The following is a 27,843-nucleotide window of genomic DNA, read 5'->3' as shown; positions in this document are numbered from 1 at the left end:
TTATAGATAATCTGACATACATAGGGATTATTCTGTCCCTCTTTTCCGTTTCTACATTTTTAGAAAACTTTACTGTTTGTTAAATTTTATATAACTTAAAACAGCTATAGGTTTTGGGGTAAGAGGATTTTTAGCAATTTTATATCATATTAGAAACTTAACTTTGAGGTAGGGGTGAATATTCTGGCTCTGATTATTGATTTTTGTTTTTTATTAGGCCTGTTATTTTAAAAGGAAAAAAATACTTAAATCAGAAATAGAAAGTACCCTCAGTGTTTTATTTCTGTTCTTGTTTTTTGTTTTTCTCCTTATATGAAGGAAGCACATCTAAATGAGGAGAGTGGGGTAGCAAAATACCATTTCTATGGCAACGGTTCCATTATGCTTGTACTTCAGTAGTAATTTCTATAGCACATTAGATCACTATAGTTGGCACCTTCAAAGCACTCAAACTGGGGAAATAACACATCAATATCTATTATGTCACTTCAGCACAAATTCTGGGAAGGTATCTCCAAGTAAAAAATATTTTAAACTGGTCACCTTAATAGTGTGTTTTAGGTTTTTAAAATAATAGAGTTATGATTTATTTAAACTTTTTCTTAATCTTCAAACAATTACTTCTTTTTACTATGACTGCTAAAGAATGATAATTACCTTACTGATCCAACTAAGTGCCAGACACTGATTTACTGCTTCAATGTATTCTTTCCATTCCTGTAACACACCTGGGTTATCATTACTATTAGTTTTATTTTCAGATCCTGGAGCCAAAGTTACCAAGAAGTTAAGAGCGCTTTAATCATTTACCCCTTCAACAAATATTTATTAAGCCAGCCACTTTTCTAAGTATCAAACATACAACAATGAAAAACACTGAGTGAGAAACTGGTAGGGCCAGAGATTCAAACTCACATCCGTGTGACCCCAAATAAGGAACACATCTGCGCTCCTTCCAATAAATACTTGCTGACTGTTTGCCAAACTATTAATTCCTTATAAATACTTTATTTGACATGAACTGGCGTTTTGTAGTACAGTGGAGCAGCATGACCTTGTCCCTGCCAAGGAATTTGCTTTTGAACATACATGACATTTGTGTAAAAGCCATTGGTAGGAACCAAGGACATTTTGTTTTAAAACATTAACATTAAAATAAATAAACTTCTGTATGCCAGATGCTACTTGCATAATGTGTTCTAAGTGATCAGTATTGTTTTTCTTAGCTTAAAGGTAAGACATTAGGCTTGGAAAGGTTAAGGTAATTGCTCCGCCTGAGGCTGGTTCCCTCCACCTGTGCTTGGTTTGTATCTCCTCCTCTCCGAGGCTGATTACCCTGGCACCATTACTGTCTCCCCTATCTCTAGCCTGTTTCCTTTTACAAGTGGCTTCTTTTTGGCATTTCAACTTGCTTAAGTATCTCTCATCTAAAAACTAGCCAACGTTTTCCCTTTACCCTTCTATTCCCCTTCAGCTCTGAAGCAAAACAATTTGAAAGCATTTTCTACGTTTGCTGTCATTACTTTCTCCTCTCCTATCTATTCCCCACCATCTTCATTTGTTTTCTCCCCTTCTACTCAAATTGCACTTTCCAAAGGCTTTGCCGACGTGATGCTAAAAATGGTATCTCATCACCCATGTGATGATTTTTATTTCTGATATGATTGAACATTATTTCACATTTCTTACCCATTTCCCACATATGTGTTTTTGTTGCTTGTTCCAGTATTTTGCCTATTTTCTTATTGAGGTTGCCTTATTTCTTTTACATTGTCGTATATTTAGGGAGGAAATAGACTATTTCATCACTCTTTGAGCAACATAGATCAGAATTAAGAAGTTAATACACAATCACTGATAAAGGTCAGCAGGGTGTGTCTGGATGAGGACATTGAGTAGCCAAACTATGAAGGATATTGTGCAAATATGCAATTGTCATTTTACCAAAGCTTTATTTCCCAGCAATGTGGAGCTTTTCGCTTCCTTTGCAGAAATCGCTTCCCAGTAGTCAAAATCCAGTTATGAAATAAACATGTAATCCAGTTATGCCAGTGTTTGTTGCTGCAGTATTTGGTATAAAAGTCTCTGGAGACTGACTTGTGTGCCTCATGGTGTTGTGCTGGAATGGTGGACGCTGTGGGCTTCCAGCAAGTTTATCTTGGGAAAAAATGACATGCCTCTTTGTTTGCTGGCCTCTTTTGTTCTTTCTATATGTCATGAATCTTCTACCTTCATAAATGTCTCTGTTCTTCCACTTGCTACACTATAAATGTCTCTTATCTCTGTTTTGTGGCAAAGTACCATCATAACCAACACTGGCCTGAAATTCGGAAGACTCAGTAGTTTGGGTCATTGTTCCATCCAATTTTATAGATTCATCAAATTTTACAGAGAGCATGTGTTATTTTGTGTCTCAGCACTGTATCTGGTTTGATTTCTCTGTGTTTGTAATATCCTGCCCAGTTGAATATATGCGCTTCTTGTTCTGAACCCTCTGTAACAAACTATGTTCCAAATAGTTGATTTGCCCCCTCCCAATTTATTTTTATGTGAATGCAATTTGGTTTTATATATGACTGCAATTACATTAAAGAATATAAATAGTTTATCTGCAATTTATAGTTATTACAGCTAATTAACACATTTTCATAGAAGCAATAACCCAATCTGAAGCATTTTAGTAAGAAGCTAAATATATTCTAGAAGCTGTTTGTGAAACTATTAATTTCTGCAGGAATTAATTGCCATCTCACTTGAACTGAGTAAGTAATATAACTGCAGTTTTAAAAATACACATTTATGAAAAGATACACACATGCAAAGGGTTAAATTTCAGTTATTTTGCATGGTGCCTTTTGCCCAACTATCTAAAACACAAGAAAGAACAAAATAATATCTCCTTGGAGAAAAATTTATACATTGTAAAAGGACTCTCAGCTTCTTAGTATTCTCTCTAAAAACTCTTGTGATATAAAAAGGACCTTTTTTCCCCTCCCCCAAGGTATCATTAGGAAATCAAGTTAGATCACTAACCCACTTCAGTTGAATAGACTGAGGTTCTTCAGAGGAGTTCACCATTCCAATTTTCATAATAAGAAAGTATTTGTTCAATTAAATCATGAGCATATAAACTGAATAATTAGAAAACTTTGGGTTAAAATTACAGGATGAAAAGTCACTGTTACCACCAATATTCTACTGAAAAAACTACTTTACTGTGTCTCGGACAGTGAATAAAAATGTAGAAATTCTGTACTAGACAGAATAAAAATCCTACAGAGTCTTTCTGATAATGAACCATGAGAGAGGGAAAGAAGTTACATTGGAGATACAAATTTTAAAAGGAAGAAGGAAAATCTTCTCTGACTTTTTTCTATAGCCTACTCAGGAAATGTTATGCAAAAGCAACCAGTTCCACAAGCCCTGGGGTGGATGAGGGTATCAGTTTAGAAACAGGTTGGTGATAACTCTGGGAATCAATGAAATTAACACTAGAACAGAAACAACTACCTCTGCTCATGTCAGCCATACAACATTAGCCCCAATTGGAGAGAAGCAAACACACGCCAAAAAATACCCCTACAGTCTTCTTTATGCTTATCGCAATTCATTAAACACTTACTGAGCACCTTCCCTGGTAGCTAGCATGCCAGGGAACCCCAAACCTTCCAGCTCATCAATAATTAATAAATATTTACTATATCTCATTAGTGAATATCTAAATGTCACTTAAAAGTAAAGAAAAGGCTAACAGTAACATTTTTCATTTCATAAAGCCTTCCCAGTAGTAAAATTAATAAAATAAGCTTTTTACTGCTCTTCTTTTTTAAAGAGTTTTATTAATCAGGATAGTTGAGGTTTTGCTGGATTTCTACTGGGTTTTACTTATTGTTTTCACTCAGAACTGGCATGAATGTCCTTGTCATACTTTAAAGTTAACATTGCAGTTTAAAAGCATGTTGGCTTCAGCCATCAAAAGGAGTAAAGTACTGATACATGCTACAATATGGATAAGTCTTGAAGACATTATATTAATTGAAGAAGCCAAACACAGAAGGTCATGTGTTGTATGGCTCGGCTTAAATAAAATACCCAGAGTACCTAAATCTACAGAGACAAAACACAGACTGTTGGTTGCCAGGGGCAAGGAGGAACGGGGAATGTGGAGCAATTGCATAAGGTGTATAGGGTTTCCCTTTGGAGTGATGAAAATGTTTTGGAACTAGATGGAAATAGTGGTTGCAAAACGTTGTGAATGTGTTAACTGCCGCTGAATCATTCACTTTTAAATGGTTGATTTTATGTTATATAAATTTAACCTCAATTAAAAAAATTGTACCATAATTTTTTTTTATTTTTTAAGTCAAAAAAAGCACAGTGGTTAATTGTATATGTTTTCTGTATTTGTTTACATTTTATAGATGAAACAGTAGTGTTTATAATATCTGGCCAGCATTTTATTCAATAAATGTCAGTGAAAAAACTATTTGAGATCTGTGTAATTACTGATTTTTTTTTTTTCATTCAGGAATCACCATGCTATTAGAGATTTTCACCTAGGCTTTTACCCATCTGTCTGTATTATCTCACTATACAATCACCTACCTTAAATTTTAAATCTTCCCAGGGACCTCTGTATTCATTTATATTTAAGTAATTCTGGGATGTTGGAAGCTTGCAGTTGGTATGACCCCCGTAGTGGAATCATTCTGGAATATGTTTACATGCTGGTCTTCATCTTACACATCATTAATGAAGGTGTCAACTAGAAAGGTCACTAGCAGCAATGCCTACAGCACCCCACTGATCATCTGAGTGGAATTTGATATATTGCCTTTGATAATTGCCCTGTCCTTGTCAACTAATTTTCAGTTCATGTTGGGGTCCTTGTGGTCAATACCATTAAAATTAATTTTTCTCGTTTTATGGTAGTGAGATGCTACCTAATTCCATGCAGGCGAAACCTAGGTACCAAACTTTCTTTGCTACTATTGAGTGTTATCGCTGACAGCATTTATGTTTAATTGCTATGATAGTTAATGACAATGGTTTTCATCATAATGGAGGGCATTTTTTTTTCCTGTATCACCTTGTGCTGCCTGTTTCTTTTCTTGGCTATAATCTATAAACTGTTTTGCTGCTCATTAGTACCTCTAAGGCCTGAGGAAATAACAAGGGCAAACTCAACTTCTGTTCATTTTGCCTGGCTAGCAGCCTGTAATCAGTCTAGGAGGCAAGAGTGAGGATTGATAGTATTGAGTTAAATGGATGTATGGTTTATCCATCAGTGTAAGAGCTAGCTTCCATGATATGGACAATTAAGATTACAATCAGTCTTGGAGTTGAGAGGACTCTTGGAGTGATCCTCTGCCTCTGTGTTTCTCAACAGGAGTATGTGCTGCTGGAGATGGGGGAGGGACAGTTATTTGTCTTGCAAGACCCTTCCGTACACTAAAGGACATTGAGTACCCCAGACCTGCAGTACTGAATGCTGATATTTGCCAGGACATCCCAAAGTGCCCCACACATTTCTGGGTGTTTCCGAGTGGAGCAGACCCACACGTTATCACTTTACTTGATGAGCAAACTGAGGTCCAGAAAGGTTTGGTGCCTTGCCCAAGGGTGTATGTCCAGGAAGTGGCAAAACTGGTATTAGAACCAAAATTATCTTATCTGGTCCAGTGCTGCTTCTATCAGCAAAGCTCTTTTCATTTAAATGTTTTAGAGTAGAATCTCAAGCGGGCCCTCGGGACTGGCCTGAAATTCAACTACCTTTTCCTACTTGATTTACTTGTTTGTTTCATACTTTCTCCTTCCTCCTCAATCCTCTATCACTCCCTACTTCCCTTCACTTCTTTTATTCTTATTTCACTGAGAAAATAGAGCAGAACAGTCTGGTCTTCACACCGTCAGTCTTGCAGTGTACCTGCATTTACACCCACGTGCGCTGTCTTCCTTCCTATTACAAGTAATGAACTCTTCCTGCTCCTGCCGAGAGCCCAGTTCCTCCCTCATAGACAAGAACTGTGCTGTATGAATTACTCTTTGTTCTCTCTTGCTTTTTCAGACTCTCCCTCCCACTGGACATATAACGTATAACCCATACTGAACTACCCATATATGTCCTATCAACATATAACCATACCGAACTACCTTCATAGTAAAAGGTGTTCTCTCATGGCCCCTACCTCTATTGTTATGATGTTTCTCTGCTTCCCTGAAAGAATTCTCTCCTGAGAGAGTTGTTAGTTGCTCTCCCACCTCCTCCAATCCAATTGGCTCCTCAACCCCCTTCTAACCAGGTTTTCTTTCTTCACCATCCTCACAGAGTCACTCTTGTCGAAGTTACCAACAACCTCCTCCTTGCCAAATCCATCAATTCTCAGACCTCATCCTAAACTCCCAGCCAGATTTGACAGGGTGACCCCCCTGTTCTTCATGAAACATTTTATTAATTTGGCCTTCCAGGCATGATTTTCTTTATTTCCCTCTCACCTCATTGGTTTATCTTTCTTGGGCTTCTTTGTAGGCTCCTCCTCCTCTGCTGAGCCTGAGATATGAACCTCTCAGGAGCCTAATTCTTAGCCCTTCTATTTTTAACAATACAACCAGAAAACAAAACAAAACAAAACAAAAAAAAGCTTAAAAAAAAATCAAATGTCTTTCCTTTGCTTAAAAACCCCTAAAAGCCATAACACTTAGAATGAAATTCAAACCCCTTATTTAGAACTACAAAGCCTTACGTAATCTAGCCCTTCTAGATTACTCTTTCAGCCACCCTAACCATTCTCTTTGTCGTTCGTCCTTGAACACTCTTAGTTTCTTCCTGCTTTAAGTCTTTGCTCTTTCTTCCTGAAATGTGCTTTACCCAGATTTTCTCAAAAGTTCTCCTTTTTCATCATCCAGGTTCTTCCTCAAATATCTCTTCCTCACAGAAACCTTCCCTGACCCTGTTGTCTAAACTACTATATCCCCGTTCCATTGCCCCATGTTCCTGAACAGTGCTTTATCCTTATTCATAGAAGATATCTGTCCCTGAAATGATATATTTATTTATTTGCTGTTAATGAGAGGTAATATGATAGAGTGATTTAACACATAGATTCTAGTTCCGTGAGTCCTGGATGCAGCCACTGACTAGCTCTGTGACCTTGACAAGACACAACCTCTGTGTTCCTCAGTGTCCTAATCTTTACAGTGGAGATGTTGTTTAATTCTTACAGGTTTTTTGTTGTAAAGTGAATTAACATATATAACATGCTTAGAATAAATGACTCACTTGGCAAGTGATAGCACATTATATTATTTTAAATGTTGTTTGAAACTTTCATTGGAAATAAGCTTCAAGAAGATGACTAGTGTGTCATTCTTGTGTACCACTATTTTTCTAATTCCGGAAGCAGTGCCAGATGCATTGTATAACTCTCAGTGTCTATTTTTTGAATGAGAAAATGAATGGCATACCACGAATTGGACTTATGTCTCAGCATACTCTCAATTTGTACTTGTGACTTAAAAACAAGATAGCTTTGGGAATGGCCTGTATCAGTAGCAAAGGTTAGTCTGTCAGGAAAAAGAGGTGACTTAGAATATTTGTAAAATAAAACAACCCCATCTGCTCTAGCTGTCCATAGGGTTTTGGTAATCTTTCAATTAGGTTGGTTTCTGTTAAGACATTTTCATTCACATGGAGAGAGAATAAGAAGATACAGAATGTTTGAGGTGAACTAGGAGACACAACACTAATAAGTTAAAAGAAGTAGCTTTGTTCATTCAAGAAAGAAGAGAGTAGAAAAATAAATGAATGGCAGAATCAGAACTGGGGCTTGAATGTTTCGCTCTATCTAGTTGCTTCTATAATCATTTAAGTATTGTTGCAAAAATTATTTCTCAGTATTTTCTATTTGGAATTGAATTTTCATTTCTACTTAGCTGGCTGGATTTGTCTGGGTCAGTATGTCACCCTCAAAATGAAGACATGGTCTCCTCGTTGAGAGCTTTTGAATGCCTGTGCTTTTTAGAGTATAAGAAAAGTTAATAAAATGCAGTCAAATATAATATAGAAAAATGCTTCTATGAGAGAAATAAAGCTTGTCATTGATGAGATGTTAAATATGGCATCCAGGAATCTCTATAGTTCTCTCAAAAGTGTGCACTAGATTATTCATTTGTATTTTGGGAGACTGAAATAGTCAGTGGCTTTTTCATCACTATCAAAGATATAGCAGATTTACATTAGCTATGTACTATAATCATTTGGCCAACTATGAATGAATGTAATGCATTTAATATGACCAGTCACCTTCTCCCATTCTCCATGGTGGCTCGACTAAAGGATGCTGAATCAAGAACTTATTCTCAGAACTTGATGTAAGATGTTAACACATCTATTTTGTTGGCTGCCACATGTTTTAGACCTTCATAAAACCATGGAAAGTTATAGTGGAGTGGAAATTTGAAACTTCCACAATTGCCACAACCTAAAATATGTTTATAATTTTTTCAAAAGTAGAAAGAATTTAAAAGCATATTCTCAGTAGTCTTACTTTGGAGTTTTTCCTTATTTTTTTAAAAAATAATGTAACCTGCAAACAACCCCATCAAAAAGTGGGCAAAGGATATGAACAGACGCTTATTAAAAGAAGGTGTTTATGCAGCCAACAAACATGAAAAAAAGCGCATCATCACTGGTCATTAGAGAAATGCAAATCAAAACCACAATGAGTTACCATCTCATGCCAGTTAGAATGGCAATCATTAAAAAGTCAGGAAACCACAGATGCTGGAGAGGATGTGGAGAAATAGGAATGCATTTACACTGTTGGTGGGAGTGTAAGTTAGTTCAACTATTGTGGAAGACAGTGTGGCGATTCTTCAAGGATCTAGAACCAGAAATACCATTTGACCTAGTAATCCCATTACTGGGTATATACCCAAAGAATTATAAATTATTCTAGTATAAAGATACATGCACACGTATGTTTATTGCAGCACTGTTCACAATGGCAAAAACTTGGAACCAACCCAAATGCCCATCAATGATAGACTGGACGAAGAAAATGTGGCAAACATATACCATGGAATACTATGCAGCCATAAAAAAGGATGAGTTCATGTCCTCTGCAGGGACATGGATGAAGCTGGAAACCATCATTCTTAGCAAACTATCACAGGAACAGAAAACCAAGCACCTCATGTTCTCACTCATAAGTGGGAGATGAACAATGAGAACATGTAGACACAGGGAGGGGAACATCATACACTGGAGCCTGTCGGGGGTGGAGGGCTAGGGGAGGGATAGCATTAGGATAAATACCTAATGTAGATGACAGGTTGATGGGTGCAGCAAACCACCATAGCATGCGTATACCTGTGTAACAAACCTTCACGTTCTAAACATGTATCCCAGAACTTAAAGTATAATAATAAAAAAATAATAATAATTTAACCTGAATCACTGAGAGTAGATACTGTGGGAAGATTTTTGTATTTTTTATACAACTTAAACAGATTTGTTATTGAATACTTACTGAAAAAGAGCAAGCACTGTTTCCTGTATTAATGAAGACATTTGCAAACCAGATACTTCGGAGTCATTATGCAGTGAGGCTTTGACAGTGGAGGCCTTGCCATATGGAGACATAAACTCATATGGCTATGGAATATCAATGAAATTGTTTTCTGTCAATTATTGTTTTGGAGTACAAGTGATGGCAGTTAGCAATGTGTGAACAGAGAATATCATTGTTTCTGTTTTATTCTAACTACCCATCTGTTGCTTTAACGTTATGCAGTCATTTCTGATAGAATGAGGCCTGTAGCATTGGCTCTTACATATATAATTTTTCTTAATATCATTTAATTCTGAACTCTTGATGAGATGCACCAGAAGTAAAGTTATTAAAGAGTGAATTGAAGAACTGGTTGGTTCAACAGGTAACAAAAGATGCCTTGTATCTGCTTCTGATGTCCAATTGATGTCATCAACTTCTTTGTGCTCCTTTCCCTTAATTCTGTCAGATATACCCTTGTTTTATTTACCTTTCAGAGGCAATTGTAAAGTTCTCACTTTGCCATTTTACTTTCCTTCACATTATTTTGTACACTGGATGTTAGTGGCGGATCTTTTTCTTTAGTGCCTGCTCAGGCTTCTGCTTCCATGGCAACATAACAATCTGGTAATATCTTCCTCTGCTTGCCCCCCAGTTTCTGGACTCTTTACAGTTCCTATCATAGAATCACTAGCCCTCCATGTTTCTTCCCCTCCTCAACCAGTCACTCAGCAAACCTTTTTCTAGGCATCTTGTCCTGTTCGTAAGCACATTTCTTTATCAAAAACCTGCTTGTCTTTTACCTCACCCCTTTTTGCAGTCCTACCTTACATTCTGTTCATTGCGTCTTGACCTTCAATAGCTCCATGAAAACTTGAAATAAATGTGAAACTAACATCATTATTTGTGTTTCTTCTGAAGTTTCTATTCCTTTGTTCAAATATTCTCTTAAAAAACTCAAAACCTAGGATTTGCTTTCAGACTTAAATTCAGTCTATCACTATCCTTACCTATTAGTATAAAAATGGTAAAATGTTGTTTCATCTATGCTTTTCCAGGATAACCCAAGTTCATAGATAACTTAAATATTTATTTTGAGTATCCCATGCTCTCATTTTCTGATGTCAGTTTGTACTCACTTTTTTTTGTTGCATAAACATGTACCATTTCTAAGGAGACTTGAAAATTAAAGCAGTTTGATCAATTTCAGCTGTAGTATGAATCTTCTTGAAAAAATTTGTAGGATTATTTAATTAAATCATTTTAGTATTTTTAATGTGAGTTTCTTATCATTTTTAAGATACTTAACTTTCCAGTCCAGAAATATCTTATAAATGAGTTTAAATAAGGTAATATCTCCTATATAAAGAGAATAGGACATTCTACTTTCAACACTTAGACATATACTGATCATTGATCATTCAGGCCTATTTTCAGCTTGTTTAGAAGTGCACAACATGCTCATGAGCACAAAATTAAAAATCCGCTTCTAACACTAGTATGGTGACCAGCCATTCTGGTTTGCCCCAGGAATGTAGGGATACTGGGATACAAGAATATCAGGTGTTTGTTTGTTTGTTTGTTTGTTTTTAGACAGAGTCTCCCTCTGTCGCCGAGGCTGGAGTGCAGTGGTGCGATCTCGGCTCACTGCAAGCTCCGCCCCCCGGGTTCGAGCCATTCTCCTGCCTCAGCCTCCGGACTACCTGGGACTACAGGCACCCGCCACCAAGCCCAGCTAATTTTTTGTATTTTTAGTAGAGATGGGGTTTCACCATTTTAGCCAGGATGGTCTCCATCTTCTGACCTCGTGATCCGTTCACCTTGGCCTCCCAAAGTGCTGGGATTACAGGGGTGAGCCACCACGCCCGGCCAAGAATATCAGTTTTAAAACCAGGACAGTCCCAGGCAAACTGGGATGAGATGGCACTGCAGACACTTGGTATATTGCCCTTGGAGTGGAACCACTGGCAACTTTGCCAGATTAAAAGCATTTTAATGGTTTATTTGTAGATAGCTTACATGTACATTTATACATGCAAATATTGATTAAATTGTCAACCCATAGCATATTTATTCTAATTATTGAAAATATTCTAAATATTTAAAATATTCTTACTGTCCATATATGATTTACTTTTACCTTTTTTTATATAGCTAAGTCAAGGTTAAAAAATGCCACTTTTTTTCTACGTTGGCTTATTAATAACATGTGATACTTTGTCCATTTATTCATGTATGTTATCTATATTTATTAATCAGATGCTGTCCTTCACATAAAGCACTAAGGCAACCATATTCCTTTATTTTACTAGCTCTAAAGATACTAGCACTAAACTTATGATCGTTAGACTAAAGGTACAATTATTAATAAGATTATGACTACTTCAGAAAATCTTAGCACTTACTGGATTTTTGGTAGTAATTTTAGGTTCCATTCTCGGTTTTATAAATGCCCAAGCATTTCTATAACTGCTCTCTGGTTGGTATCTCATTGTCTTTGAGAATTCCTGTTCTGTTATTCCCTGGAATTAAAGTATGTGACAAATGCTTCATCCAATCGACTCATTGTTGGTAGTCAATTCCTTGTGACTATTTCGCTGGTTGTTCGCCTATTGTGTAAGCCCCAAATCCTTTTCATTAACTTTATAAGAGAAGTATTTGTTTACAATTGCTGATAAGGTTTAGATATTTTTCCTCTCCAAATCTCATGTTGAAATGTGATTCACAATGTTGGAGATGGGGCCTAGTGGGAGGTGTTTGGGTCATGGGGGCAGATGCCTTGTGAATGGCTCAGTGTGCTCCCCGCAGTACTGAGTCCCCTATGCAAGATCTGCTTGTTAAAAAGAATCTATGACCTCCCCCATGGCTCTCTTGCTGCCTCTCTCACCATATGACATGTCTGCTCCCTCTTTGTCTTCCACCATAAGTGAAAGCTTCCCGAGGCTCTCACCAGAAGCAGATGCTGGTGTCATGCTTCTTGTACAGTAAGCAGAACCATGAGCCAAATAAACTTCTTTACTTTAAAAATTACCCAGCCACAGGTATTCCTTTATAGCCACACAATATGAACTAGTACAATTGTCAAACTGTACTCCAGGATTAAGCCCCTAATAGTAGCGAGTTGAACACAGTGCCACTGTGGGTCAAGGCAGAAACAGACCACAAGCTTCACCTTGAAGTTTAGCCTAAGAATCGGCCATATGCTTACTCTAGGTTGATAAGCTGAGTCATCAGAAAGGGACTTTGGAAGACTTATCTTCTAGGCGGTGATAAATCCTCAGATATGCCTGGGAGCTGCAGCTCTCAACACCAGTTTAGCACCAGAAGTTGGTGGCTGCGTGAAGAAATCCATCACCTAAAATGGTCCTGACATGCAGCAGGTGGTCAATAAAATTCTGGTGAATAGATCCTTCCTTGTTGTATTTAGTGTCTCAAATGGGGAGCAGGAACCATTCCCTCTACTCCATATTCTATATTTTGTGATTCAGTACTGAGTTAAACATTATTTTTAAATATTTTACTCTGCTTTTTTTCTAGTTCCTCTAACTGAACTTTTAAGTTCTTTAAAGGTTAATGCTATAATTTAAATTTCTTCATCTCTCTGCATGATATTGGCCAATGACATAACTTTTGAAAAAATACATTAAATTTTTAGTGACATGTATGAATGCAAAACACTAATACTTTTTGACTGATAGACTAATTGAATCCTTAGACATGACAGAAGTTTGAAAGGCAGAATATGTGAATTAATGTAATTTTAAATTAATTTTCCTCTGCATCTTAACGGATCTTTATAGTAAAGCCCTGATAAAGTAAGGTTTCAAAATGGTGATTGATGGTGTAGGGTAAGAATTTAATGGATTTAAGTAGTTGCTTACCTGGAATATGCTTATTTGGTAATTGTCTGCTTTATTTGGACAAGGCATCAATACATTGATTAACGGTAGAAAAATATACCCATAAAAAATACCCCTGCGTGAAGCATAGCCCACATTGCCTCCTAGGGACTTTAACATAAGAGGAAATTATCTGGTAATTTGTATAGTGATGCTCTAAAAATGATCCTTACTTATTTGAAATATAGAAAAACTGGATTTATAAAAGTCTTTCTCAATAAGAAAAAGCAATCAGAAAACATTCATTGCTGTAGTAAGAGACAAAGCCACTCCAGGTACACCCATCTCAACAGCCTGTTAACTGGGCACTCTGAGGAAGGCACAGAAAGCACAGCAAGACTGCAAGCTCCATTTTTTTCTGATAACAGATCCTTAGAAATTCAAAGATTCTAACAGATGGACCCAGGTGTGGAAAGAAGCTGGGATTCAAAAGCAAGTTTAATTGTGGCTTTACCTTGAAAATATTTTTATTTTTAGATAATTTGCCAGTGATAAAAATTGTGGAATGGTAGCTAGTCTATAATCATAGCCCAGTTCCCACCATATAAATCGGTACCTAAGACAGAATCAGTTAAAATCAACCCAGACTTGCATTGTTTTGTTTGTTTTCCTTCTTTCTCTACCCATCTTTATGTTTGCTCCTCTTCTTTGTTTTCCAGGCTTTTGCAAGTTCAAAGAATAACTAGGAATGTTGGCACTGATTAATATAATTGCATACAATTTCCTAGTGAGAATCCCAGATCACTCTCATCACTTAAGTGCTTATGGAATCTTGGATGTCAGAAAATGGCCCTTTTATAACTGGCATTCTGAAAGAAGCACAATGTTCTCTTAACTAAAATTACAACAGTTAATACCTGCAGTGAAGATGAATTTATACCTGCAAACATCGATTTATCTTTTTCTTTTTGCAGAACAGATTTCCCCCTAGAAACAAGAAAATTTTTATGACCCAATATTTTAAGAAAGAGGTTAAGATTATATGTTCTGCTTATCTCAAACAACATCCATCTTCTGGTTTAACTGCAGCAGAATCTGTTGCTGGTAATCTTGAAATACATGGCTATCACACTAGTGATTTTCTTGTAGGTAAGATGGTTATTTAAGTGAGCATTAAGTGAAGCCAAGGATTTTTTAAATGGCCTGAGACAGGAAAGGTCTATTTCATCATGTGGCCTACTTTATCCTCATTTTTAGTAGGAAAAAAAAACAGAAAATGATAATTTGTTTATCCATTTTCACGTAGTAAATTTCCAAAAGTAGATATTTATAAGTTGTATATTAGTAACCTGAAATTTAAGAGGAGGATTTTTGTTGCAGCATCAGTGATGAACATTTTAGACACATTAAAAGTACATTTACTGGCTTGCTTCTTATTTTAAAAATAATCCCCATTACAAAATGTATTCTTTTGTACCAACATATTATTAATTTCATGTCCATTCCTTTTGCTCTTAGTTGGTTACAAGTCTGTCTTCTACCCCCACAAGGTACTAATCACCTTGAGGTCTGAAACTATAACCTACTCATTTCTCTATGTATAAAAATCTGTCTGGGAGCTTATTTAATGTGCATTCAATAAATAATTGTTGTATATATTCTGAGTCCTGCCTACTCTGTTGTCATTTCTACTGGCATAATTTTGGTAGTTTCCACATAATAAAATTTTGTAAGAATTTTGCAGTTTTTGACCTAGCATTAAAATATGTCAGATAAAGAAGTTGCAAAGGAACTTGGCATTTGAAATCAAAAAGCTCTGAATAGAGCAATCTGGTCAGTCCATGTTTTGTAAATTGTGTTTCAGAATATCTTGGTGGGATACATAAAATATAATTTTAAAAAGTAAGACTAAGAAATGATAAAACATATCCTATTATTTCATTTCAAGAATCCTTTTTGTTTCAGTTATATAATGATGTATAGAGAGATAGAAATACATATCTGTGTTTGTGTGTGTATAGTGTGTAAAATTGGGTCACAATGTAAAATGTAGTTTGTTGTCAAAAAAAATTTAAAATCACTGAACTTTGAATATTTGAATGTTTCTAATAATTCTGAGCCTCAAATTTTCCATCTGCAAAATGGGCTTAAAAATAATTATTTTTAAGTTTATCCTGAGGATTAAGGGCAGTAATATGCAAAGTACCTTGCATAGTGCCTGATTGATGTAGAAGACAAGCAAAAGATGTAGCCTTTTACCAAAACTAATCCATTTAAAATTTAATTGATTAGGACCTTTTTAAGTATACACAGAATTACATGAAGACATTAATGAAACTAACTTTTCAAACACTTTTCAATTTGAAAGACGATTTTTAAAAGTTAATCAATAAAGGCATTGCTTAATTAATTCATTTTGTTTAATGATTTTTCTTTGAAGTCATTGCTTTTCAATTCAGTATAGATGATTTTAATTTATTCATTCATTCACTCAAATCATGTTTTTAGGATTTGGAATATGGCCAAAGAAACGTGAAATTTTTAGGAGAATCCAAATTTGTCCTATGAGGAACAGTTAAAGAATCTGGTGAAAACCTACTGAAGTCTAAAAATGAATATGTGGGCTGATACTCATTTCATATATTAAAAAGTTTATCTCATGCCAGAAAGATTAAATGTGGTCTTGGCAGAAGGAAGAATGAAGACCAACTTACTGGAAGTTATGGGACAGTAGATTTCAGCTCAAAATAAGAAACAAATAATTATACCTGAGATTTGTCTCAAAACATTATAGCTACCTCAGAAGGGGTGTTCCTCTGAGAAGGTAGGGTGGGTATGGTCAGATTTGGTATCATGTGAACTGTCTTTTATCTTAAAAATTCTGTGGCTAACTTTAAAGGGTCAGACACCCTGAGGAGTCCCATGTGATATATGCAAATAAGACCTTTTTTTCATAAATGAACCTTAAAATTGAATTCAGAAGATGCTGAGGACTTTGCATATTTTTGTCAGTGAGATAATCCATGAATTTATCAGGGCAATTTAAATTTATTCATAAGCATTTTGCTTATCCCTGACTTTACTCTGAATGTCTTTTTTTGTTAATTGCATTTGTTTTGAGTTCTTAATTACAAACAAAAGTAGGAAAGAAATCTGTTCATTTGATCATTTTTAGTAGTTCTACTGGGTATAAAACTTTGTGCAAATGTAGACCAGACTGGGAAATGTGAGCATGGGAACACCTATAGAGAAGAAAAATGGGAGGTGAACTGATGGTGGCTAGAAAGGAAGAGGTGACTCTCTTTAGAAAGGTTGATTAGTATTACCAAGAAGCAAAACAAAAAGTATATGGAGATTATAAGGGAGAGTTATTTTTTTCTGTATCCTTTGGGAATGCTTTATGTGGCTTTATATCTTGTCGGGAAAATAGAATAACTTAAAGGATATCCCAGATCCTTTAAGATAATGAGGTTTTAGTGCTTGAAAAGTGACCCCTCCCAGGAAAAAAAAAATTATTAGGTGAGGAATCTCAGTTGTAAAGTAGGTGAACTAATTTGTCTAAGTAATTAAGTGTAATCAAAACATACACATCTTGATTTTGAATCCGCTGTTTTAATACTAGTTTTGATAAATTATTGTCCTGAAACATTTCCCCTGCATCTGATGGCCTCAGGAAGCTGAAACTTTTCTCTCAGGTGCTTTAGCCATGGGTTGTAATTAAGTCTAGGATCTTCCATTACCCACTGTCAGTTGTAATAAACACTAACATTGTCAGAATGGATAATTCTGAATGAGGCCTTAGAGATCTTCTCATTCAAAAGTTTTCAAATGTTATTTTAACAGTGAAAACCTTTGTTCAAACAATACTGATGTAGCAGCAGCTTAATGTATAAAGCAGATTTTTACTTTGAAAAAGAGAGAGAGATGATCTAGTTGCAATGACTATTAGAGAACCTGGACCACTGCCTGTCCCCACCTCTCATTCCCACCACTGTACAACTTGACTCCCAAGAAGTACCATAATTTCTTTTTTAAAAAATCTAATTTATTGCCTTTGTTTTATAGCCAGAGTTTCTTTGAATGCAGGAGAAATAGAAAATTAATGTAGCATCCTTGGAGATAAATCCACTTTCTCAAATATGGCAAAAATAGTCTTTAGCTGTGGATTGCAGGGTGACTGCAGGGGATCCAGGGGAAGGGAAGGTGTAAATATGAGGAAATTGGTCTTTATGCTGCCCCAAACAGACATGTATAAGTATTAGTTAACATCATAGTGTAACTGACCTACCATTTCTAATACCCTTCCCAAAGAAAACAAAACCTGTGAAAATGGGCATATTTCTCTCAGTAGAAAGAATTATTAGTGCTGATGTGAAATAGTTTTATGTGGATGCCTTGTAAGGTCTGCAGCCATAGCATTTTTCCAGGGAATTCTGCAAAATAGCAATGATTTGGATAAGCCACCTGTAATCTGATAGGATAGTGTCTCTAAAGGAAGAAGCTGGTTTTCTTTTTCATGGATTATCTGGAAATCAGCTGGAGCCTCCAGAGCCTTCCCAGGATGCCTTTCAGTGATCTCTGGACAAGGGAAATGGAAGAGGGACCAAGACCAAGGAATCAGGATTGACGTTAGTTACCCATCTGAGAACGTAGTCCCAAGGCCAGGTTTAGTTGTTACTGATGTTTTTTAATGATTACATTGCCAGTAAGCTCTTAACTTATAATTGCCGGGGACCTGAGGCTCCCTCAAGGTGGTAACATATTTATAACGTGCTTTAATGCTCTTTTCGTCCTGAATCCATGACTGAATGTGTAATTTCCTTGTCCGAAGACTCATCTTGCCCACTTACCATCCTAGAGCATAAGGGCAACTCTCCCTCAGGAAGAAAATAAGTCTGCGTGCCAGTGGTGCCGATGACCAGCACATTTTTCTTCAAATCGATGGAACATTGATGTCTCCGGAGCATATCTAGGCCTAGAAGCATATCCATGGGTTGATCCTCAAGTATGGAGAAAGAGCACTGTAAGAAATCACCTTCAATTTGAATCTGAGCTAGATGAACACGGCCAATAATTCTCTGTGTGCCCACTCCTTTAGCAACCCCAGCCCACCGTCGGTCCACCAGCCTCATGATGTTACATCGCTCGGCACAAGCCTGGCTCATAATGGTCATCTGGGCGCCCGAGTCAACAAAAGCCTTCAAAGGATGCCCATTCACTTTGCAGTTAATGTAGAGCATCGTCACTTGTCCAAAACTCTCGGGGGCCTCTTCTATCGCTATATTCATGTTTTCTTCAATGTTTTGCTGCCGGATTTCCTCTTCTATTTTGGCCTGAGCTTCCCGATCCAGTGGGTCGGCTGTGTAGAGACGAAGCCTCTCTTGCTCTCTCAAGGCCTTTTCCCTTTGCTGCTCCATCAGCACCTGAGAAAAGGTCTCAAGGCTTCCGCTGAGCAGGGCTTCCGCCAAGGGAGGGTTGCGTTCCTTGAGCAGGGACAGATCGTGGGGGTTGGAGAGCAGCATGCTGCGGATCAGGGCGGGGCTGCCCAGACCTTGCAGGCCGGCCACCTTCTCTCCTGACGCCAAGCCCTGTGACCGCTGGGCAGCGGGTGTGCGCTGCTGCTGCTGTCCAGGGTGCTGTGGACGGGAGCTGGACGTCCCAGGCACCGCAATGCCACTGAAGTCTACACGAGGCTGGTTCGGGGCACGCCCTGGAGCCCGAGGTCCCACATTGTCCTTCTGCAGTAAAACCACGATATCGCCATCTTTGAGGCCGTAGGAGCCCAGGGAACAGTGGTCCTCGATGAGGAGTCGCTCCATGTGGATGATCTGGATCTCTTCGACGGGGACTCTGGACTCCGCTTCGCAGAGGACCTTGAAGTTTCGGAGCTCAAAGTCGGGGCTGACCTGGAGAGAGAAGGTGACCTCGGAGAGGTCCCTCCGCACGCAGTACACGGTGATCAGCATGGCGGGGGCCCGGGCGGGCCGGGCTAGCAGAGGGCATGGGCGGCTCACTGGCGGGCTGGGGCGGGCCTGCGTCGTTGGTGCCGCTGCTCCTCAGGACTTGGTAGGTAGGGACCGTCCGGGCTCATTCACCTCTCAGAGAGGCGCGGACACTCATCTGTCTGGGGGCTGTCTCCCAGCCTCAGTGCCTGCTGTGTGGCCAGGTGGAGCCTTGAGGTAGCACGTTGTGTTCCAAAGTCCATTTCTAAGTGTGCTGTTTGGAACCTAGAATGCCTACTCCCATGGATACACGATGGCTCAAAGCTGTCAGGTTTCAAGGCCAGCCCTTCAAAGCCTATTTAACACATGATATGAAAGAAATGATTTCAACACATTTTTTTTTGAGACAGGATCTTATCCTGTCACCCAGGCTGGAGTACAGTGGCATAATCACAGCTCACTGTAGCCTCGACCTCGTAGGCTCAAGCAGTCCTCCTCTCTCAGCCTCCTGAAAAGCTGGAACTACAGGCACAGTCTACCATGCCCGGCTAATTGTTGTATTTTTTTTTAATAGATTTGGGGTCTCACTGTGTTGTCCGGGCTGGCCTCCAACTCCTGGGCTCAAGCAATCCCCCACACTTCGGCCTCCCAAAGTGCTGGAATTACAGGTGTGAGCCACCATGCCTAGTTTTTCAACACTTTCTAAACAGCATATTATCATTTGTTTTGTTCATTTTAGAGTTGTATTCTTTGTACTTTTGTTTTTTCCCCAAACAGTAAGGATTTGTTTCTTACATGGCAAGTACCATTCTATGTGCATAGTAGGAAAGTCAGATTTGGAGCCTGCCCTTGAGGAGCTCACATTTCTGGAAAGGGATAGACAGGTGAATGGGTAATCACAATACTAAAGGCAAAATCTTTTACAAAGACATGTTCAGGGTACTGCCTTTAGTATCACCAACAGAACAGAGGATATTTTCCTAAGGAGGAGACAAGCTGGATGTTGAAGGATGAGCATCTTCCAGGTGCAAAGTGGTCTCACTCCAAAGGAAAGCAGTTTCATGTTACAAAAGCAGGAATTTATGGCAAGGGCTGTTATTTCTAGAGAAAGATGAGACATTTTGTGCAATAAAAAAATTGTACATGACTTTGAATACCAGGATATGAAGCTGGAAAAAAATTAGTTGAGCCAATTGATGAAGTCATATGTGAATCTACGGAGTTTAAATATTAAATATTATCAATTAGCAAGAATTCCTCCTCCAAAAAAAAAAAAAAAAAAAAAGAAAAAGAAGTAAGGAAGGAAAGGAAAGGGAAAAGATTTGAAGCAGGTGTTTGTGATTTTTTTTTTTAAATTGACTTAAGGAAGAGGCTTCTTGCAACACATGGAGGACATAATGTGGCAGGAGGGCCAGTCAGGAGGCTTTTCCAGTGGTTCAAAGAGGGAGCTGTTGCTAGAGTGTGGAAAGTCAGGAGGCCCAAAGCCAAAGCAGTAGAGAATAAACATGTTTCTTGAGTAAAATGGACAGAGTGTGCATACCCCTTGGAGGTGGGGAGTGTAAAAAAGTGGAATGTGTGGATAACACAGAGGGTCTCTAAAATGGGATATAGGGTAGATGGGCCATTGCCTTGAAGGGGAATGAATGAATGAGTGAGATGAACCTTTGAGGTGACCCATTTGACATCAGTTCTGTAGGAAAATTCATTAAGGATGCCACCCTAGAGGCCAATATGCCTCTCTCTGACATTTGGGCACAGCCACCTTCTCCCTACTCTCCCCCACCCCCACTTACACACACACACATACAAGGCTGTCATGGTGAAAAGTCCTTCAAGGCAAATGATGATTGGGTAGAAATCCTTGCATGCCAGTTATTTTTCTCTATGTTTAATAAAGTGTTTTGCTGCCTGGCGCGGTGGCTCATGCCTGTAATCCCAGCAGTTTGGGAGGCCAGGGTGGGCGGATCAAGAGGTCAGGAGATCGAGACCATCCTGGCTAACATGGTGAAACCCTGTCTCTACTAAAAATACAAAAAATTAGCCAGGCGTTGTGGTGGGCGCCTGTAGTCCCAGCTACTCGGGAGGCTGAGGCAGGAGAATGGCATGAACCTTGGAGGTGGAGCTTGCAGTAAGCCGAGATTGCGCCAGTGCACTCCAGCCTGGGTGACAGAGCGAGACTCCATCTCAAAAAAAAAAAAAAAGTGTTTTGCACTGTGCAGAGCTCATGTTTCCCTGGCTTGGTACTCCCAGGTGTACCTACTTATGAACCAAGATAGTCGATATCCTCTGCCTAGTTTCACCCCCTTCTTTGAAGGGTTGTTAGAAGGCCTGCACTGTTACACCATTATTCCATTATGGAGAGAAGGAAGTCACATCAGCCTAAATAATTATTTTTTGGCTCCTGTTTCTCATGTATTTGTCTCAGATGGAAGACTATGTCTCGCTCACTGCTCTAATTATCATAATGTTTCTATACTCATATTTGCTTATATTAGAAATGTTGACTGAACGCCCAGTGTATGTGAAGCATGTGCTAAGTTCTAGGGAAACAGACGTGAATAATGTTAAATATAGGCTGTATTCTTAAAGGAGCTCACAGTCTAAATTAGAGCACATGCACACACACAAATTGAAGGGTAAAAAATACCACAGTAGTGGTATTCAGGAGAAATTAATAATATCTGAAGAAGAGATGAAGAAGATGGTGAGGGATGTTGGGGAGAGAAGACATCCTGAAAGAACTGGGTTTAGAAAGATGACAAGGAGTCAGCCATGCAGGGTGCGCCAGAGTGGAGACACAAAGGTGAGAAGGAAGATGACCTGACTTAGAGCTTTCAACTGGAAAGACAGTGTTTCATCATATAAGGATTATTTTTTAATTTTAAGAAAAAAAATCTAGCATTGTAATTTTCACCATTTTTACAGATGAATGAATGACCCTTTGACTCAATAATATTATGTTATGGTTCTTTGCACCCTGACAAGTTTATCAGAGATTACTAGTGCTTTCCCCTGAGTTTGGAAACAATTATCATGTGAGATGTCACATGCAAACTACTCTGCTAAAGAACAGATTGAGAAACCAGTAAGACTTTAATTCAGTTTTCCTTTATCTTTTTTCCCCAAATAGCTTTGTACAATTTGTTCTTAAAACCATAGCGAGGAGGATTATACTGGGGCTTTTGTTTTTTTTAATAGCAAATGAAATTATTTTTGTAGAATAAGCTTCCTTTTGTTTTTCATAAAGCAAAAATTGTGAGTTCACATGAAAAGAAACTAACATCTTTTTTTCTATACCATTGCCTTCATACTGAACATATTTAAATTCTATGTGATGTGTTTTATTATCTCACTGTAATTTTTTTACTTTGGGTGGCACTTTACATTTATTTGTTTTTCAGCATTTTACCTTTTACTGAGAACAGACACTGGAAAGCAAAAAGCCTCAAGGTCTGGCCAATGAGCTGTCATCATTTCATTGGTCACAGGATGTCAGGGTTGGCAGGGATCCCTTGGATTCCATAGTCCAGCCACCCATCCACCCCTTATATCTGTTGCAAAACAGCCTGGAATCTGTAAAGGTAAACACAGCCTCCTGTGTTTAGTACTTCTGTGTATACATCATTTGATTCTTTCATTTTACCCAGCATGATTTGTGATTCAAATACCATATGTATAATTGTCCCAACTCAGAATTTTAAATGAAAACCTCTTCTGACTGTATAATGAACTTGGAGGTAATTGGAAATATATATATATATAAAATATATTACACACACACACACACACACACACACCCCTAAACATAAACTGTTGTTATACCGTAAATCCCTATCATGTAGTCTGTTGAGAAATGGGTTATCTGAATTATTGAGGTATGTAAATCTAAGTAACTGAGGTTATCAAAACTTTTCTTGAGGAATTCTTTGTGAAGTATACTCCCTTACTTTTCTCCCTTAGTAAGTACAATATAAGAATATAATTAAATTTTTTTTGATAAGTGAGATTCCTGCAGAGTCTCCAGGCTATCACTCAGAAATCAATTCTAATTGTATGGCCTAAATGCCCAGAAAACAGAAGAGATGGTACTGATTTCATACTAACCAAGTAAATAACCCCAAAGTTATTTTTTTAATAAATCCACAATACCTTTTGTAATTTGCCTCTTTCTAAAAATGTAGCAAAAAAAAAAAAGAAAAAAATCCACATAACTGATGGTTTCAGTTATGATAGTCAGTTGATGTTTAAACTACTATCTCTTGCTGTACTAAGCAAAATAATTGTCTTTTTAGTGAAAAAAAATAGAATACCTACATAAATGTCACTATGTAACATATACAGTAATTAAACTATGTTAAATAAATACATTTGCTTGCTACATTGGGATTTCTTCCTTTAAGTATGTGCTTGTATTACCTTTAACGTGTAATCAAGACTTATTAAGAGAGTTAAATCATAACTTGAGATTTTCAGTGCAATTTAGAAAAGATGCAGAATTTTAAAAGCTGTACCCTTAGGTTAAATAACTAATGTTTTCATAATTCTTTTATTTGCTTTACAGTAATACAATAAATTGTGCCAGAACAGTCATGAGCAAATAACATGTATTTCTTTGGATAGTTATTTATTTATTTATTTATTCATTATTTTTGTTGTTGTTGTTGTATATATCTGTGTTTATTTCTTTTTAATTTATTTTAAGTTCTAGGGTACATGTGCAGGATGTGCAGGTTTGTTTCATGGGTAAACATGTGCCATGGTGGTTTGCATCACCTATCAACACATCACCTAGGTATTAAGCCCAGCATGCATTAACTATTTTTCCTCATGCTCTCCCCTGCCCTTGCCCTCTCCCGACAGACCCCAGTGAGTGTTGTTTCCCTCCCTGTGTCCATGTGTTCTCATTGTTCAGCTCCCACTTATAAATGAGAACATGAGACGTTTGGCTTTCTGTTCCTGTATGAGTTTGCTGAGGATAATGGCTTCCATATTCATCCATGTCCCTGCAAAGGACATGATCTCATTCTTTTTTATGGCTGCATAGTATTTCATGATGTATATGTACCACATTTCCTTTATCCAGTCTATCATTGTTGGGCATTTGGGTTGACTCCATGTCTTTGTTATTGTGAATAGTGCTGCAATGAACATACATGTGCATATATCTTTATAATAGAATGATTTACATTTCTTGGGGCATATACTTAGTAATGAGATTTCTGGGTCAAATGGTATTTCTGGTTCTGGATCCTTGAGGAATCGCCACATTGCCTTCCACAATGGTTGAACTAATTTAAAGTCCCACCAACAGTGTAAAAGCATTCCTATTTCTCAACAACCTCACCAGCATCTGTTGTTTCCTTGACTTTTCAAAAATCACCATTCTGACTGGTATTAGATTGTATCTCATTATGGTTTTGTGTTGCATTTCTTTAATGATCAGTGATGCTTGAGCTTTTTTAAATATGTTTTTTGGTCGCATGCATATCTTCTTTTGAGAAGTGTCTGTTCATGTCCTTTGCCCACTTTTTAATGGGGTTGTTTGTTTTTTCTTGTAAAGGTGTTTAAGTTCCTTTTAGATCCTGGATATTAGACCTTTGTCAGATGTTTAGACTGCACAATTTCTCTCCCATTCTATAGGTTGTCTATTCACTCTGTTGATAGTTTATTTTTCTGTGCAGAAGCTCTTTAGCTTAATTAGATCCCATTTGCCAATTTTTGCTTTTGTTGCAATTGCTTTTGGAGATTTCATCATAAAATATTTGTCCATGCCCATGTCCCAAATAGTATTGCCTAGATTTTCTTCTAGGGTTTTGATCGTTTTGCGTATTACATTTAAGGCTTTAATCCATCATGAGTTAATTTTCATATAAGATGTAATATAAATTAATGAGTTATGAGAAATGTGTAAATAAAATGTTGTGGTTGCTTAGAGGAGGAGGTAGAGGTTATTTGTTTGGGATAAGGTGGGGTGCAGGGAGTGAATGGGACTGTCCAGAATACTCACTAGAGGAAGTGTCACTGAAGTGGGCCTGGAAGAATGATTTGGTAAATTTAACCATGATTATAGTGTACCTGTCTGGGTTCCAAAGAGCTATCCTTTCCTTGATGTATCATACCACTTGCTTGACCTCTTTCTCTTCACATGAATGTACATTTTTCTGTTCATATTTTTTCCTGGTGGATCTATAACCAAATGGATGCATTAAGATGGTAGGATTGGTATAGGAAAGGAATAGTAGTCTGAGCTTCTCAAAAAGTGGTTGTCCCATCCTAACATTTCTTCACACTGACAAAAAATAACGAATGCTGTGTTTCTTTTTGGTAGTGAAGAGGTAGTCTTTATTTCATGAGGACAAGCCTGTGCAGTGCCCTGAGTTGAAATCTGAGTGGCCTTCTTCTCAATTCACCTTCATCTGCTTTAGAGTTCGTGAAGATTTCTTCAAGACTTTGGCATTTCATTGCCCTTCAGCCTGGCCTTTATTATTCTCCAGCCTATTAAGATATTTTATTGGAAACTAGGTGGATGTTGTCTGCGTCAGGGATCTCCAAAATTATTTATGGGTGGTTTAATGTGAATGTATATACAGGTTGAGTTTCCCTTATCTGAAATGCATGAGACCAGAAATGTTTGAAATTTCAGAGTTTTTTGAAGTTTTGGAATATTCGCTTATACATAATGAGATGTCTTTAAAATGGGACCTAAGTATAAACACGAAATGTATGTATGTTACAAATGCACCTTATTCACATAGACTGAAGGTAATTTTATACGATAATTTTGTGCATAAAACAAAGTTTTAACTTACATTTTGACTAAGACCCGTCTCGTGAGGTCAGGTGTGGAATTTTCCACTTGTGTCATCATGTTGGAGCTCAAAACGTTTAAGATTTTTGAGCTTTTTGGACGTCAGATTTATGGTTTAGGGATGTTCGGCCTGTAATTAGTGGATATCATAGTTTATGAATTTGTTGATGGTACTAAACACTTATCTATCATACAATAAAAATTCTCAAAATGACCACTTTTCATGTTATCCACATACACTCACCTCTGTGACATGAGACTCTTAACCTTAGTGTACAGAGTAATAGCATGCAGTCCACCCAAACAGGAAAGATCTAGCCACTGGCCAAGACACCTCAACAGGTATTTATATGGCACATCACTTCATTTATGGTGACATTTTGGGTCAGTCTTTGTAGAATGAAATTTGTTAGCTTCCAAATAGGACAGAGTATATTGAGAGATTCCAAAGAAATTTTAAAAAATGTACCATAACAACATGGTCATTTAGATATTTTATGAATTATGTACATGATAGGTAATGTTTCCACAACTGTCTTATAAAAGACAAAACTTCAGATTGTTGTTTATGTAGCTTTCTCTATTCTAAACAGCAGCTGAGTTAATTGATTACCATAGTAATTAGCATGGCTAAAGCCCATCTGTCTATAGAATTTAATTGTATTCCAGCCATGAAAATGAAAAACAAAGACTGATCAACAAAAGCTTCACTTTTAAAAATAACAAATAAAAGATAAATCAACTCACCTATTTTTCTCAGAAAAATTAAATTTAGCAGCCTGTATAGAAGAATTCCTTCTTACACCATCCCAATGGTATCTAGTCCATAGCATATTCTATTTTATTTTTTAAATGGTTTGGGAACATTAATGTCTCTGCAGGTTGTCTCTCTATTCTGAAAGATGTGGCACTCCCATGCTCATGCTCTGTTCCATTACACTTATGAATATTCTATCTCACTCAGCTCATAAAATGTGCTTAACTGCTGATATGCTCTTGTTTACTTATGTATTGATAAAATATTTCAGTGCTGCTTATTCACAGAAGTCGTTGGAGGCCTCCAGAGGACAGGAACTAATCAGAGTAACTACGTACTCTAACTTTCAAAATCAGGGAACCAATTTATGATGCTGAAGAGAAAGAAGATAGTATCATTGATTTTTTTTTCCTTTACAAACTTTAAATGAAATAGAACTGAAATCTCTCAGGCAACTCTAAAAAAACTGTTTTTGTCTTTTATTTTTCTGCATTTTTTTTTTACTTCAAAACAACTTAAAACACTATTAACTGTGAACAAAGACTTGGTTTTATTTCATGTTCTTACTGCAGTGTTTTTTTATCTAGAATGCAGGGTTGTGGTGGCCCCTTCATGCCAGTGGTTAAGAGACAAGAAACCCAGTGTTCCAAGGATAACTTGTAAATTACTGTTTACACAAATGAAATATACTGGCATTCAACTGACATAAAAAAATGAAGCCCCACTGTAGTTGACGTTTCTGATATTAAAATTGGGCTCTGAGACCATTTCTTCATAGAAAATTTAAAGCAAACAGGATCATCAGCTCCTCAATATGCAGCAAGCCAGCCTGAAAAAAAAAAAAGCAAAAACAAAAACAGAAAAGAGGACAAATTCAACTAAGAGCCATAATTTGTGTTCGTAGGGATGGATATAGCAAATTTATCTAGCAGTTAGCCTCAGGTCT

The 27,843-nt window shown here is 37.4% G+C and overlaps 2 protein-coding genes across 3 annotated transcripts in view; one reads left to right on the top strand and one right to left on the bottom strand.

Moving 5' to 3' along the window:
• Positions 1–27,843, top strand: part of PDGFD (platelet derived growth factor D) — a 256,959-nt gene that overhangs the window by 107,969 nt on the left and 121,147 nt on the right. The window lies entirely within an intron of this gene.
• On the bottom strand, positions 16,983–19,539 carry DDI1 (DDI proteasomal shuttling factor 1). The gene has a single exon (NM_001001711.3). The coding sequence runs from the start codon at positions 19,354–19,356 to the stop codon at positions 18,166–18,168; it is 1,191 nt and encodes a 396-aa protein (NP_001001711.1). The 5' UTR covers positions 19,357–19,539; the 3' UTR covers positions 16,983–18,165.

Source organism: Homo sapiens, chromosome 11, assembly GCF_000001405.40.
Source record: "Homo sapiens chromosome 11, GRCh38.p14 Primary Assembly".
Classification (NCBI taxonomy): Eukaryota; Metazoa; Chordata; class Mammalia; order Primates; family Hominidae; genus Homo; species Homo sapiens.
This window is presented reverse-complemented; position numbering and strand designations above follow the sequence as displayed.